At 44.9% G+C, this 17,047-nt stretch overlaps 1 annotated feature.

Moving 5' to 3' along the window:
* Nucleotides 6,592-7,513: an enhancer, noted in NCBI's record as "OCT4-NANOG-H3K27ac-H3K4me1 hESC enhancer chr14:89605771-89606692 (GRCh37/hg19 assembly coordinates)". NCBI's record gives its function as "activates a minimal SCP1, AML or CMV promoter by ChIP-STARR-seq in naive H9 embryonic stem cells {active_cell/tissue: H9 hESC(naive)}" and the evidence as "EXISTENCE:reporter gene assay evidence [ECO:0000049][PMID:30033119]".

A 17,047-nucleotide genomic window follows, 5' to 3' on the forward strand; every position in this document is an offset into this window, starting at 1 on the left:
TTTTTTTTTTTTGAGATGGAGTCCCACTCTGTGGCCCAGGCTGGAGTGCAGTGGCATGCTCAGCTCACTGCAACCTCCGCCTCCTGGGTTCAAGTGACTCTCTTGCCTCAGCTTCCCGAGTAGCAGGGATTACAGGTGCAAACCACCATGCCCGGCTAATTTTTTTTTTTTTTTGTATTTTTAGAATAGACAGAGTTTTGCCATGTTGGCCAGGCTGGTCTCGAACTCCTGACCTCAGGTGATCTGCCTGCCTTGGCCTCCCAAAGTGCTGGGATTACAGGCGTGAGCCACCGGGCTCAGCCCCAGTCTATGGTATTTTGTCATAGCAGTCCAAACAGACTAAGACAATCAGACTATAAACAACTGTTGAATATTTAGTTGAGCTTTTTTATGTGTGCCATAACCATTATTTTATTTTTAAAATCTTTAAACCTATATATTCTATATACAAAGTTTAATAAAGAATGTTTTCAATGACTACATTTCTCTTCTGGCCATTGTTATTATTTGTTTCATTTCATGATTGTTACAGAAAATACAATATATTGTTGCCATATAGAGAGGAGGGCAGTAGTTAATGAATGATCTGTTCCAGGCAGGACTGGCTATATAATTTCAAGGTCCTAGTCCAGGGCCTCTTGTTCAAAAATGAGGAAGAATTTCAAGATGGCAACAGTCGAGCACTAAACCAAGTAGGGGTGCCTTTGAGCATGGGCCCTCTGCAACTCGACAGATCACACACCCAGACAGCTGGCCTTGACTCTGAGTGCCCAGTATTCAGGGAATGCCACTGTCCCCTGGTTGGTTTCCTTTCTTGACTCCAGGTGGGGCTGTCATATCAGCAGCCCCTCCACCCTAACGGTCAGCAAAGAGCTGCTGCTCAGCACGATGGCTCCAAAGCCCCTCAGATTCTCCATCATTGCCGACAGGTAAAATCAGATCCAATTCCCCAAGCCACACCAAAGCACCAAGACAACGATGAACTCAGAAAAGTTTGCGTCCCAGAACTGCCCCCTCCTAGATCTTTTTTAAAAAAATCATTTGACCAAATGAGTAGTTTTAACTGTACCCTGGAAAAACGAACTCTTGTTCTCTTGTCTGGGGTCTCTCTGGGGCTGAGTTTTATGCTGAATCTGTGCCGAATACTGGGAGGTAAAGTTGGCCTACTTACCTCCTCCCACACCACTGCAGGAACATCCTCAAGATGGCTTGGGAATCACAAAATTGCAACTATTTGAAGATGAAGGGACGGTGATCAGGGTTGCTTATCTTTACTCAAGTGCATATTAGGCTCCATGTCCCAGACAAAGGAGAAAAGCAAGGACCAAGAAGCCCTGTCCAGCCCTGCAGGGCTAAGAGGGCTACTTACACAGCGGGCAGAGCAGCCCAGTCCAGGAGCAAGCCCTGATTTGCTGAGTGGGAGAGGCTGTGAGACAGCGAGCATCCCATGTCCTTGATACTCCCGTCTATAAAAGGAGCATCTATAAAACGCTCCACACCTGATAGGCTGCTAGTAAGAAATAACTAATAAAAACCCACTTGGGATGCTTAGAGTGCCTTCGACACAAACTCAAACCATACAAAGGGATGTGCTTCTAGGGTTTTCTTGTGGAGGCTGGGAGTAAATGACCCACAGCCTTTGCAAAGAGGCTGTCAGAATATTTGAGGCAAGAGTCTTGTTTTCATTCACTGACGAAAAGGGATCCACTCCTTGAAGCGAAGAATCCCCGATGTGCTGGATCAATGGCTGCTAACGTGCCTGTTTGGAGCTGGTAGGAAGTTTAAAAGGGATTTCAAAGATTTGTAATTGTAATTTAAGATAAGCCAGTGAAGCAAATGAAGCTGACATTTAACTCTGAGTGGCGGACTGTGAATTGTGGTCTCCACATGCACACAGACCCCTAGCACACTCCTTCTCTGCATGACACAGTGAGGGTGGAGCTCCTCTCTGGATCTGTGCACCAGGCCTGGGCTAGCTGTGTCCTGCCTCACAGGTGGCAGAGACTGCCACTCAGATATGGGCCTGGCTCTAAGCCCGGTGTTCCTCTGGTATCTGGGTGAATTTGCTCCTGCAAAGGAGGAAACTGGGGTGCTGATTTCTGGAATGTCTGCTCCAGGTCAAGAGGTAGGCTTGCAGTGGAAGTCCTTACAGACAAGTAAAGGTGGTGTGATTTCAGGATCCTTTCTCAATGAAGTTCATAGCATGGTTCAGTAGGACTAAATTCTGACCATATCAACGACACTGAGATCTTGGGCAAGTTCCCTTCTGAGCTTCATGTTCCTTGTCTGTAAGATGAGTGTAATCACTATCTACTGCAACACTCGGTGCTAAGTGCTTAATAATGGTTAGACGAAAAATGACACATTTTTTCACTTAAAACTAAGGCAGAGGGAATGTAATGAATGCCACTGAACTGTACACTTAAAAATGATCAAAATGGTAAATTTTATGTATGTTACTACAATAAAATATTTTTTAATTAAAAAATGTATAAGGACTTATATTTGAACCATGATGAAGTAATAGGGATTGGATTTACTCTCCTGCCTTAAACAACTAGACAAAACATATGAAACAATACCTTTCAGATATTAGAAAACAGATAATACAGAAAGTAATCCCCAGGGGAAGGGAAACAGGGGAAGTAATTTTCAGGCTACAGAACAGGGAGGGAGAACCCAAAGAGAGCTTGATGGTCTTCCTGAGTTGACGAGACAGAGTTGAGAATTTGAGAAGGCCAAGGAAGCTAGAATTTACAAGGCAGGATGCCTTAGAGAAGAGCACTGCACAGAGAAGAAAGAGCTACACAGAGAGAAAGTTCTGAAGATCTGCAGAGGGTTCCCCTTGATTGGCTACTGACCAGTGCAAGTGCATGCATGTGAGAAAACTACCCGAGCAGGAAAAAGAACCAACAAAAAGGAGCAAGCTGAATAATCCCTGGGACTCACTCGGGCTAGGAATAGTTCATGTTCCCACCAGCCGGAATAGAAAAACGTCATAATATACAAAATATACAGAAGGGTATTGTTTCAATAATAAGAAAACTTTATCCCTAAAGTCTGCTCTGGTCCCACCTAAGAAAGCTCAAAAGCAAGCCTCAAAAGGATTGAAGAAATTTAGCTGCCTACCAGAACAAATGTCAAGAATATTTGAAGGGAAACAAAAATATCCAGCATCCAACAACACAGCACCTAGTATTCAGTAAAAAAAAATTACCAGGCGTGCAAAGAAGCAGGAAAACATGCCCCAAATGAAGAGAAAAATTGATCAGTAGAAACAGACTCAGACATGACACAGATAATATAATTAGTAGAAAAGGACATTAAGCCAGTTATTATAATTGTTTTCCATATGCTCAAGAAGGTGGGCAAAAGCATGAGCATGCTGAAGAGAGACACAGAAAACATTAAAACAAGAACCAAATAAAACAACTAGAGATGAAAAAGATAATGTCTGCAATAAAAATACACTGCACAGGATTAACAACAGATTAAACATTGCAGAAAAATGCTAATAAACTTAAAGACAGCAATTGAAACTATCCAAAGTGAAACAGAGAGAAAAATGACGCCCCAAAACGAGCAAAGCGATCAGTGAGCTATGGAACAACTTCAAGCAGCCTAATATATATGTAACTGGAGCCCCTGAAGAAGAATGAGTAGGAACAGAAAAAATATTTGCAGAAGTAATGGCCAAAACTTTTGCAAATTTGAAGAAAACTATAAATTCAGGCTTAAGAAGCCTAGGAAATTCCAGGCACGAAAATCAGGAAGAAAATGATACCAAGGCACATGAAAAATTGAATTGCCTAAAACTAGTAGTAAAGAGAAAATCTTAAAAGCAGTCGGGGTAGGGGGAGGAAGTACACTTTACATACAGAGGGGCAAAAGAAAGGATGACAGCAGATTTCTCACCAGAAATAGTGTTAGGTTAGAAGACAAGACAGATGTGTCTTTAAAATCCTGAAATAAAAAAAGCTGTCAACCTAGAATTCTATACCTAGCAGAAGTATCTTTCAAAAGTGAAAGCTGACAAACTAAAAGCTGAATGAATTCATCTCCAGCAAACCCGCACTACAAGAAATATTAAAGTCCTTTGCACTGAAGAAAAATGATACTAGATGGAAACACCAAGAAATAAAGAGCATTAGAAATGTTATCTGTCTGAACAAATATAAAAGACCTTATCCTTTACTTTAAAAATAACTTTAAACACTAAAGCAGAGGATCTCTTTCTCCTGCCATTTAAATTGTCTATTTTCTGGAGTAGAGAATTCACAGAACTGTGAATCCATGATGTGAAATTTCAGCTTCTTGCAAATGACTGAAGGCAATTATTTACCTCTCTAGAACTCAGTTCCCCTCACTTGTCAACAGGGGACAAGATGATAAGCTAATGAATAACACAATCCTTTGTAAAATTAAAAGCAGCATATAAACATCACTGGTCTTCCTTTAATTTTGCAGTCCCTTCCAAGAAAACAGCTTCGCATGGTGATGTTGAGGCCTGCCCAGCTGGTGCTGATGCTAAGATCTGCTTCCCAGGCAGCAGGCCTGTGCCTCCATTTACCCTCAAAGGAGAATCTCCCTCCCTCCTTAGGGGTTGGGGAGATGCCCTGAGAACACACTTTCCCTTTCAATATAATCCCTTATTCTGGTGCCCCTCACCCAATACTCCTGCAAAACCTAGCAGTGCCTCAGTTGTTCTTGCTAGCCTTGCCCAGTGAGGGATTTGGGCTCATGGAATAACATTCTTTTCTGGCTGGGCACGAAGCAAGAAGTTGAGCCTCATTCAGAGTGGCAGCAGGCCAGGCCTTCTTGCCTGTTGGCTCTTCCTGTTTGCTCAGGCCAAGGCAGCACTGGGGTGACCCACACCGAGGGCCGCACCAGTGGGCAAAGGGCCAGGCCCAAGTTTGAGGTTTAGGGGTGGTGAGTCATGCTGGAGTCATGGCCTGGGCTGGGAGAGGCACCGCCACTCCAGCAGACTGCTCAGAACTCTGTCCCTCCAGCTTTCCTTTCAACAAATATCTTCTGGGTACCCACTTGTATACCCGACTCAGAGTCAGGTGCTTTCTATACATTGTTGAATTTCTTCTTTAAAATGGCCTGTGAGATTGGTCTTTATATTCCCATTTCACAGGTGTGGAAACTGAGGCTCAGAAGGGTGAAATTGTAGGTCCAAGTGCACACAGCCAACTGCAGACACAGCTGGATTCAAGCCCTTTTTGAACCTGTATGTCACTCTTCCTGCACGACCTGGATGTTTGCATACTCACAGGGCACAGGGGACTAAGGTGGCTTTGGAAGCAGAAGCGGGAGAGTAACAACAGCTAACATTTATAGAAGGGCTACCATGTGCCAGCCACTGTGCAAACTCCTCACAAGAATGGTCTCATTTCATCCTCGAAGGGACCCTGAGAACTAAATACTAGTATTTTCCTTATTTCTCTTGTGCAGCATTGCATAGTGTGCAAGGGGTGGACTGGGCTTTGCAGTAGATCCAATACTTTGTCCCAAAGAGACCACGGATCTTATGTTGGTTCCCCCAGGAATGAACCTGGAGACGGTGTAGTTTAATTGGGAGGGGATCCCAGGAAGCACTGAGTTGGGGAAGGTGGGTAGGTGGAGAAACAGGAAAGTGCAGGAAGCATGTAAAAGGTATGATGTGGAACAGGTTGCTACTATGGGCAATGGGGTCTTTATTCCTCCTGGAACCTTTGGAAAACAGCATGGGGCAGTGCTTCTCAAAGCTGAACACGCACTCGAAGCTCCTGGGATGCTGTTAACATGCAGACTCTGATCCAGAAGCTCAGGGTGGGGCCCAAGACTCTGCATGTCTAACAAACTCCTAGTGATGTCAGTGCTGCTGGTCCCTGGACCACACTTTGAGTAGCAGGGTTGTAGCACATATCTCAGAAGTGTTTCACTAGAAGGTGGAGGGGGCTGGGATTATGAAACTCCAGCTTCCATCTCTCCTTGGCTGAAGGCTGCGGGGAGTGGGGCTTCTCTGCTCTCCTGGCCCACCTGGGAAAGGCCTTTAGGTAGCCTGCTGTGTGGTGGGCAGTCCTTTGGCAGGTATTGCAATGTGAATGCCAGCGGGCCTGGGAGGACACTGACAGCTTCGACTCCACTGTGGGATTGCCCTGCGTGCACTGTCCTTCCAGCTCACAGGACTCCCGCCTGCCCCTCGGTGGGAGGGAAGCCTAGGTGTGCCCACGGGCATGTGCTGAGAGCAGCTGAGCCAGTCAGGAATAGCCACTCCTCAGCAGGGGTCCCAGGCAGTAACCACAAAAAAAACCTCTGGGCTGCTCCTAGAGCTAGTCTGGACCTCCGGATTCCTGAGTGGGGCTCCTCCCCATTCCTGCAACCACTCTTGAACACAGAAGTTGGGGGGCAGCTTTAAAAACACTCCAGTCATCAGGGGGGGTCTTGGCAGGGACTCAGCCAGAATCCGTGGACATAGACCTGTGGGGCTTTGTGTTCTTGTTTGGCCTGGCCTGGTGTGATCCCGGGAATGCGTCACGGAGGCTCCTCCCCACAGCGCGGGGCTCCTGAGGAAGGTGGCAAAACATCTTTCTGGCTCGAGACCTGCTCATTGGTCAGGGCACAGTCCTGGTCCCTTGGCAGACATCAAGAACCTCCCAGGCCCAGGGAGTGATGGCATGAAGTCTCTGCAAATGAAGGGGCTCAGGCAGCAGAACAGTGGCCGCCTCAGCCAACACTGGGCAGTAGGTGGGGCAGGGCTAAGCCTGCAGGTGAGAGAGAGCCTGGGACCTGTGTGGAGAGCTTCTCAGGGACAGGCCAGGAGGCAGGGATGACAGCTGGGGTGGAGCCTCCCTCACTGCCTCCTGGCCTTTAAAAGATGACTCGGCGGCTTTTCTTTAGGTGTGCCTCCAAACACCTGGGTTCAAGTCTTAGCTCTGCCACATAATAGCTATGACGCCTCAGGCAAATTATTTCACCTGTTACATCTCAACATCATCATCTGTCCAATGGGAATAGTCATCCTCCCATCACAGGTCATGAATGAGACAACACTGGCGTAGCACTTCATACAGGCTGCGCTTTGTGGTAAATGCTCAACAAGTGGGCGTTGTTCTCATGGAATAATGGGATACTCTTTTTCTTCCCACTGTATTTACTTTTCAACTCAGGGGACGGGGTTCTTTAGTAAAGTGGATAAAGTGCCAGACTGCTAGCTTACTAGAGCATAGGAGCTCTGCTCTGAGAAGAGGTCAATATTAACAGAAGAACGATGTGTTTGTCATGTAAATGCGCTACCGGGAAGAAGCCGGGACACCTAAGAAAGCCAGAGTAGGATGTGGAAATTCTGGAATGGAGCCTGCGTCCTGGAGGGTCAGCTTTGAAGCAGGGAAAGAGAAGAGCAAGAGGAGACCACAGAGAACAGGGGGGCTCCAGGATGCCCACTGGAGGGGCCTCTGTGTGACCAGCAAGGTGAGTTGACAGCAAAGGTAAACAATGTTTAGCATTCTCTCTGGGCTCTGTGCATATGGGTGCCCCGGATCAGGAGCCAAGCCACTGGGGTTCAAACCCCAGCTCCTCCCTTAACATCTGTGTTTTCTTGGGCAAATTACTCAGACTCTCTGTGCCTCAGTCCCGTCATCTGTAAAACGAGGATAATAAAATTAGCTGCCTCGCAAGTTTGAAGAGAGATGAAGCAGGTTCATATCTGTAAAGTGCTTGCCACAAGCCCTGGCATACAGCCAATGCTCAACATATGAGGGGACTTCAAAAAGTCTGTGGGAAAAATGAAGTTAAAAAATAAAAATTTAAAATATAAACTTTATTTTTCAACGTGAGCTCCATCAAGTTCAAGACACTTTTGTAAATGATGACACCAGCCATTTAGTACATCCCTAAGAACAGAGGGTCTTGGGAACTTAACCTTGTTAGTGCAGTCTTTTTTACATTATCACCTGAAGAAAAATGAGTGCCCTTTACAGATTTTATAAGATTAGGAAACAAAATGATGTCAGGAGGAGGCAAATCAAGACTGTAAGGTGGATGCTTAGTTACTTCCCATTGAAACTCCCACAAAATCGTCATTGTCTGATGAGAGGAAGAAGCAGGAGCATTGTTGTGGTGGAGAAGGACTCTCTGATGAAGCTTTCCCAGGCGTTTTTCTACCAAAGCTTTGGGTAACTTTCTCAAAATGCTCTTATATTAAGCAGACGTTATCCTTCTTCAGTCCTCCAGAAAGTCAACCAGCAAAATGCCTCACGCATCCCAGGAAACTGTCACCGGGACCTTTGCTCTTGACTAGTCTGCTTTTGCCTTGACTGGATCACTTCCCCCCTTTTGGTAGCCATTGCTTTTGTTGTGCTTTGTCGTCAGAATGGTACCAGTAAAGCCATGTTTCAGCTCCTGTTAGAATTCTTCTTTTTTTTTTTTTTTTGAGACAGAGTCTCATTCTGTCACCCAGGCTGGAATGCAGTGGCGCGATCTCAGCTCACTAAAAGCTCCACCTCCTGGGTTCAAGTGATTCTCATGCCTCAGCCTCCCAAGTAGCTGGGATTACAGGTGCGCACCAGGCTGGTCTTGAACTCGTGGCCTCAAGTGATCCACCCGCCTCAGCCTCCCAAAGTGTTGGGATTACAGGCATGAGCCACCATGCCTGGCCTCCTATTACAATTATTTAACAAAATGCTTCAGGTTCTTGATCCCACAAGTTTAAAATTTCCAATCAAAGCTCTGCTCTTGTCTGCAGCTGATCTGGGTGCAGTGGTTTGGGCACCCATTGAGTGGAAAGTTTGCTCAACTTTAATTTTTCAGTTTGAATTGTGTAAACTGAACCAAGTAAGATGTGTATGGTGTTGGTTACTGTTTCTGCTGTTAATCATCAGTCCTCTTCAATCAGGGCATAAACTAGACTTATTTATTTTTAATCACAAATTGATGTGGATGGTCTGCTGCTGCAGGCACCATCTTCAACATCCTCTTGTCCATTTTTAAAACAGATTATTCATTCGTAAACTGCTGATTTCTTTGGGGCATTGTCCCATAAACTTTATTTAAGGCATCAATGAATTCACCCAAGTTTTATCAGAAATTTGCTATTTGTTCTTGCTTCAATGTTAGCAGAATTCATGTTGCTGTGAAACGGGCTCTTTTCAAACTGATGTCTCATTCTTCTACATGCCTCAAACTAGATCCTGTTCAGACATGTTATAACAAGTTAGTAAGAGTTTATTTTGGTGCAAAAAGTTTTTGAAATCCATGCATAGCTTTTGCATAATAAGCATTTTCCACGAGCTTCTTGAAGACCTTTGTAGGTATGCTCTGTGACTGATTTTTCTTGACAGCCTTTGAAACCTCGATTGATCTCTGTTCCTCTTGTGCCTCAAATCTTTCATCTGCCACAAATGTCCCCCTACCCAGGTGAGGGAGAGTTCAGCAAACAGGAGGTATCATTGCTTACCATCTTTTACTCCAGGACCTGAGATTTCCTTGTCCCTATGTTTGTAAAAAGAGGGCTCCTACCAATGGCAGGAACACTAGGTGCAGAGTGGAGAGTCCAGCAGATGGAGTTGGGCCCTCCAATAACCCCCTTTCTCTGCTCCCACTGGAGGAATTCCACAGAAACAGGAGGAAGACTCGGTCACCCTGTGACCCCACTCCGCATAGGAACCCATGAACAGTCCCAGATGGGAGCAACACATAATGTTAATCAAGATGCTGGGAGTGAAACTGAGTTATTTGCAAAGCTCCTGGAGCAGTCCTGTATTTACTACAAATGCAGAAAGGAGTGATGTAAGATGACTAGCGTGGGTTCCTGCAGAACTGCCTGCTTCCACATGTAGCAGAGACATGAAACAATTATAGAGAAGATGCAGGCTAACGTGCTCCTGTATCCACTCTCAGCTCTCCATCAGTTAAGGTGAATGTCTCTGCCTTTTTACATTTATCCCGCCTTCCCCCACATGCCTGAAACACATGTCAGGTGGCCGGGGATTGTACTTGTTTTGAGTTTGTTTGTTTGATTGTTAAAGACAAGGCTTCTGGTATAATTATCCTTCCCTCCCATCTCCCAGAACGTTCTTGCTTTGGGTCTTTTGTGTTCATTTCAATGTGTTGATTCAGACCTTGCTTGCTTTCAAAAGAGATGTGAGGTATCTCACTGTCGCACTAACATTGATGAAGCAAAAGAGAAGCACAAAATGTAAAGAAAGGAAAGGAGGAAAAAAGCTCCCAAGAACTCTTGGCTGAGAAAAGTGATAGTAGTGACACACCCCAACTTCCTAGCATTGTGAGAAAAATGGGAAGCCTGATATTCCACCTCTCTGTCACTGTAGACCATCGTCATGGGAAAAAGTGAACCAAAACCCAAACTGATTGTTGGCTCTGAGCTTTGAGAAGATTTTGTCACGTGTCACGGGGACTTTGGCTCAGGGTCCTTGAGTAACATCATAAAAAATATCCTCAAATGTACTTATCAAATGCAGAAGGGCTTTTTTTATTGACTATGTCTTATACCAGTTCTCAAAACAACCAACTGCGTACTAAAGCAGGTTTCCTTAAAGGAGTTTAGGAGTCTACCTTATAATAAATAAAGCCAAAAAATTAAATACATTTTATATAAAAAGTTTGTTCATAATATAATATTGTGATTAGTACTTATGGATGACAGCAGGTTACCCCAAAACTTTAAGATAAAGTTTCTTTTCAGGAGTAAAATTAGGAAGAGTTTGCCCATAATGGCAGCAAGATTAGCCACCCATTAAACAGCCTGAGTTGACACCCATAAGACAATCCAAGAGTTATTGGTGGTTGAATTAATTTGCTAGAGCTTTCATAAGTAAGTACCACAAAAGGAGTAGCTTAAACAATGGAAAGCTATTGTCTTGCAGTTCTGGAGGTCAGAGGTCGAAGGTCAAGGTGACTGCAGGGCCACACTCACTCTGACGGGGTTATGGAAGGATCTATTCCAGGCCTCTCACCTAGTTTCTGGTAGTCCCTTAGATTCTGGCAACATAACTCCAGTCTCCACATGGTATTCTCCCTGTGAGTCTGTGTCCACATATCTCCTTTTAATAAAGACACCAGACATATTGGATAAGAGCCCAAACTACTCCAATATGACCTCATCTTAACTAATTACATCTGCAACAATTGTATTCCCAAATAAGGTCACATTCGGAGGCACTGGGGGCTGCGATCTTAACATATAAATTTTTGGGAAAGGGACACAATTCAATCCAAAACAGTGGCCAAAGACATGGGTGAAGCCGAAAACCAAGTCATAGGGACCAGGAAATACTCTCGGGTGGGGGGAAAAGTTGCCATGTTCCTGAGCCAAAACCCAATCACATGTCTTGTGTCCAGGCTGAAGGAAAACCTTATAATCAGAACAGCAAGAGTCCCCCTACAGCCTGGTGGAGAAGGGAAGCCAAAGAACAAGAATGTGTTTCCCCAGCCCTGCCAAGAGGGAGTCCACACACCAGGGGAATCCGGACACTCTGTCCTCTGGGGGACTCAGCTGCCAGGCAGGGAGCTTCCATGGCTTTGATAAAATCCCTCTGGACATCTTCTGGTTTCCAATTTTGAACTCACCAAACTCATTAATTCACCTTCTCAAGGACCCTAATACTGAAAACCACCATGTTGCACACTTCATATCATAGTATTCCTACTGCTGTTAGAACAAAATCCAAACCCCTTCTCATGGAGCCTGGAAGGTCCTATGTAATCTACTCTCCAACTTCATCTCCTAGGACTTTTTCTCTTCTCTTCTGAGCTCCAATCCCATTATTCTTCCTCTAAGTTAATTATTACCTTAAAGCCTTTGCGCTTGCTAAGTCCTGTGTCCAGAATTCTTTACCCCTAGGTAGTCATAAAGCTGATACTTTTTGTTTCTAATTTTGAACTCACTAAACTCGTTAATTCACCTGCTCGGCGACTCTAATACTGAGAACCACCATGTTGCACATGTCACATCACAGTAGGCTTGGTATAGATGCTGTCCCTGGCATTGCACAATGTACACCCTGCATGACCTACAATGTGGACCTAGGGTCAGGGTTCCTTGGACTGCAGAAGGAGCACACAGTCCCTGAAAAGGACTCTCTCTGTTTTAAACGAACCCTTTGGCAATCTGGTTTATTCATCAGTCTTTTATGCCTTTGGTTAATGGTAATCTGCTCTGCCTCACTCAACTTTTGAGAGGAACTGCCAAATCTAGAGACCAGTTCCTTGGAGATCCTAATTCAGAGAATAGATGGGAAAAAGCAAAGAGGACAGGAAGACTCTAGAAAGGGGGATACAGCAGTGGAACTGGTGGAACAGGTGGAGAGGAGAGAAATGTGGCATGAGCTGGAGGTAGAGAGATCGTTTGCATGTACTTGGCAGCAGGGGCAGGGAGTAGCACATTAAAGGCTTCAAAACAGCACTGGGTGCCAGAAAATTGGAAGAGGAAAGGTGATATAAGAAGCTTTCATGATGCTTCGGATTTTGTTTATTATTTTAAAAGAGATACAAGTTAAGGATTGGAATTCCTGGGTGTTGCTCACTTTTTGTTGTTGAATTACTTTTGGCTATTTGACGGAACTCCTTTGAAAGTGATTCCACATAGCACAGGGTAGCCAAGAAAAGAGTCACATATGCAATTTTAAATTTTCTAGCAGCCATTTTTTTAAAGTAAAAAAGAAACAGGTAGCATTAATTTATTTAAATATCTTTTATTTAACATAACAGATCCAAAATGTTATTTCAATATATCATCACGACTTTTAAAAGGTATCAATGAATATTTTACATTCTCGTTTTCATAGTAAGCCTTTGAAATCCAGGATCAATTTCATGCTCACAGCACATCTCAATTTGGACTCCACATTTCAACTGCTGTATAAAAGCCACGTATGGCTAGTGGCTGTTATATTGATCAGCATCATCACAGATACAGGGGCTGGGCTATGTAGTTCTGGGATTCTGAAGGTGAAATAATAATAATAGCCATAATAATAACAACAGGCATTTATTGAGCCTCTTAGATATGCCAAATGTTATATTAATTCCCTTTCTCATGCATCATTTCATTTAATCCTCTTAACAACCTACATTTTGGGCACTATTATCATCCCATTCTACAGATGCAGAAACAGAGCCTCAGAGAGGGTGAGTGCTTTGCCCAAGGTCACACAGCTGGTAAGCAGCAAAGCTAGGACTAGAAAACCAGTCTGTCTGTCACTAACCACTGCCTCAATAACTTAGGGTCAGTAAAGGAGCCAGCCAGCAGCCAGACTTTCCTCAGTCCCTTCCTCAGAGCCCATGCACAAGGAGTCACTTTGTTTTCTGATTAGCCAAGCTGCCATGTTGCCTAAAAACCAGACTGGAAAGAACATTCATTGTACAGCTGAGCATATTGTGTGATTGAGTGAGAAAAGAACAGCAACAAGATGCTCTGCCTCTCGTCAACTGTAGGAAGCTGCAAATTCAAGGCCAGTGACCAGGTTCACAAAATGCAATTGTTCTCAATGACACTTAACAAAGAGCCAGGGAGAGAATCGATTGTCATTAAAAGCTGGCCAAGAACATCGATCGTCTCCCCAGTGATGATCTCAGAATTTTGACTTAGCCAGGCCAAGAGCGTTGGTGCAGAGACGTTTTGATGTGATTTCTCATGTGGAAATGGGCTCCAGCATGGCGAGTCAGCACAAAACAAGCATGAAGCTAAGGACGGAGCAGCCAGAGCTCTGCCCATGCCTCTCCTGCTCCACCTCCATGCCCTGTAGACAGAAAGCAAAGGAGGAGGACTGGCTGGACTGGGAGATAGTAGATCCTGTGGGTCCTGTCCCTTCCTCTCTGTTCCTCTTTATCCAGATACTTTAGAAGCCTTTGGAACTGTGACATTTCTGGGCCTCACATTCAGGGGAAGGAGGATGATTCCTTCAGCCTGCTGGCCATAGAGAACCTGGCCATGGATATGGCCTAGATAAAACAAGCCAAACCATCTCCTATTTATCCCTGAGACCCCAAGATGGGCAGTGAGCAAGGCCTCATGCCCCTAGAGCTCTCCTAGGTGGGAGGGAATATCTTGCTGTCAAATGCTCCTGAATACAATTCCAACTCCTGCTCTGTCCTGCATCTTGCTGTGGTTGGGGAAGAGGGTGCAATGCTCTCATTTATAGTATGCAGGCTAGGATCTGAGCAGTAAGTCTTGTTCATCCATCTGTCTATCCAAAAAATGCTAGCTGAGTGACTGCTGCAGCCAGATGCTAAGGCAGGTCCTGGGAATAAACAGATGTACAGGGCAAAAAGCTTGCCCTTTAGGAGAACATGACAGACACTGGGAAATCAATAGCCACAGAGAAACATAGCAAGTGCTAGAATGAAAGCATGTTAACCACAAGGTACCTTGGTAGCAGGGAGTGGAGAAGTTGAACACAGAGGGAAGACATGAAGACATTCCAGAAAGGCAGAGAGGGTGGTCCATGCGAAGCAACAGAAGGCACTAGGAACATCCTGGGAACTGCAACTTACCAAGCAGCTGAGGCTCAGAGTGGGCCTGGGAGGGGATGGGAGATCAGACTGGAGGGCTGGCTGGGAGCTTAGCCAGAGCACAGGGCACAGCATAGGACTTTAGGCAGGGGCACAGTGTCAGATGGGTGATTGGACGGTCATCCTGGCTGCAGTGGGTTGTGGGGGAATGGATAAAAGAGGGGCAGGACCAGCGTGCTAGCCTGGGGGTTCCTGGTGCCCTCAGTTTCCTTCCTTGGCCTTCCTCTGCTCAGCTAGGCTTAGCTCTGCATGAGTATGAGTCCATTCTCACACTGCTATAAAGAAATACCTAAGACTGGGTAATTTATAAAGAAAAGATGTTTAATTGGCTCATGGTTCCTCAGGCTGTACAGGGAGCATGAGGCTGGCATCTACTGGGCTTCTGGGGAGGCCTCAGGAAACTTACAGCCATGGTGGAAGGCAAAGGGGGAGCAGGCACTTCACATGGCTGGAGCAAGAGGAAGAGAGAGAGAGGGGAGGTGCCAAACACTTTTAAACAACCAGATCTCATGAGAACTCACTATTGTGATGCCTTACTTTTAATGGCAAAAACCACAATTACTTTTGCACCAACCTATACTTGGTGTGATGGTTAATTTCCCGTGCAACTTGACTGGGCTAAGAGATGCCCAGATAGCTGGTAAAACACTATTTCTGTGAGACCATAGCTGGGTGAGATTAGCATTTGAATCAGTAAATTGAGTAAAGAAGATCCACACTCACCAATGTAGGCAGGCGTCATCCAATCTGATGAGAGCATGAACAGAACAAAAAGGAAGTGCAAATTTTCCATCTCTGTTCTTGAGTTGGGACATCTGTCTTCTCCTGGTTCTCAGGCTTTCAGACTCAGACTGAATTACACCACCGGCTTTCCTGGGTCTCTGGCTTGCAGACAGCATATTATGGGACTTCTAGGCTTCCATAATCGTGTAGGCCAAGTATCATAATAAATCTCTGCTTGTGTATCTAGACCTCTATCTATCTATCTATCTATCTATCTATCTATCTATCTATCTATCATCTATCTATCTGTCTATCATCTATCTATTATTGGTTCTGTTTCTCTGGAGATCACTGATAATATACTTAGAGTGTCTCCATTTCCCTGGTGGGGCCTGACTTGTACAAATGGAGAAAGGGGAAGCAATTAATGCAAGTTTTCTAACTGCAAAAATCCAACAGAGCAATGATATAGGTTTGCACAGAGGTTACTATCGCAGTGAGGATGGAACTTGGAGATGCTTAAGAGGTGGAATTGATAGGGTTTGATGGCAAAATGTGGGGAGAAAGGGCTAATTTTTTTGAAATTTTTGTAGTTAAAGGGTTTTGTCATATTGCCCAGGCTGGAGCAAGTTTCTTGTGGAAAAGAGACAGAGATATACCGCTTGCTGGCTCTGAATGAAAGAAAAATTTGGTGAAATGGACGTATCATTGCCAACTATCTGTTTAGCTAACTGAGGATATGAAAAACAAACACACACCTTAAATTTAGAACACCTTAAGTATCCAAGTGGCAGGCACCGTACTGGGGTTCAGCATAAAATACCATCTGATGCCTGCCCCTAAGCAGATCACCTCCATCAGGGGAGCCAACAGGTGGATTTAAAATCCTAACAGCCTGTGATGACAGCCACCAATAGAGACAGGACTTTGGTGGTCTGGAACTTGGTGAGAGAACGATATGACTTGGGCCTTGAAGGACTGACAGAGACTTTTCAGGAGGAGAGAGGTAGGGAGTGCATAGAGCATCCCAGGAAGGGGAAAAAATGTGAAGAGGCCCCGAGCCACAAAAGGCTGAAGAGTTTGGTGACTGGAGTCATTGAGGATGCCCGCAGTTCAGGTGGGTCTGAGAAATGACAGAATCAGAGGTGATTTGGAAAGAGAAGTCTCATGGTCCTGCAGAGGAATGTGTGGTCAGTGGAGACCAGCACCTGTGGTCATCATCTGGGCAAGAGGAAATGGGACTTGACCAGGATGGCGGCCAGAGGAGTGGAGGACAAAGGATGATCAAAGGTGAGTTTAAAGTACAACTGGCCAGACTGGGTGTTGGGTTCCATGGAGGAGCTGACAGAGCAGGAGGGACTCTGGATGATTTGAGGCTTCTTAGAAGGGTTGGTTTGGGATGGACAGGTTGACTTCTTCACAGCACGTTGTAAACATGAAAGACGAATGTTAAACACAGTGTGTTTATGTTATTATTAAGTTACAAGTCGTTAGACAGAGAAGAAAACTTCTGCCTTTGCAGCGTAAAAAAGTTAACTCAGGTGTAAAATATATATCCCTCCTTCAGAATTTTCTTAGTTGCCAATTGACATTTTTACTCCCAAGGGGATTAGTTACTGCCAGTAAAGGTGGAAAAATATAGAGTTGTTTCCCTCCTACTGGGTCTGATGGGTTAGATGAAATTTTTAGCCTAAGAGAAATAGTCTAGGCTGGGCATGGTGGCTCATGCCTGTAATCCCAGAAATCTGGGAGGCTGAAGTGGGAGGATCACTTGAGGCCAGAAGTTCAAGACCAGCTTAGGCAACACTGT

This window comes from Homo sapiens, chromosome 14 (genome assembly GCF_000001405.40).
Source record: "Homo sapiens chromosome 14, GRCh38.p14 Primary Assembly".
Classification (NCBI taxonomy): domain Eukaryota; kingdom Metazoa; phylum Chordata; class Mammalia; order Primates; family Hominidae; genus Homo; species Homo sapiens.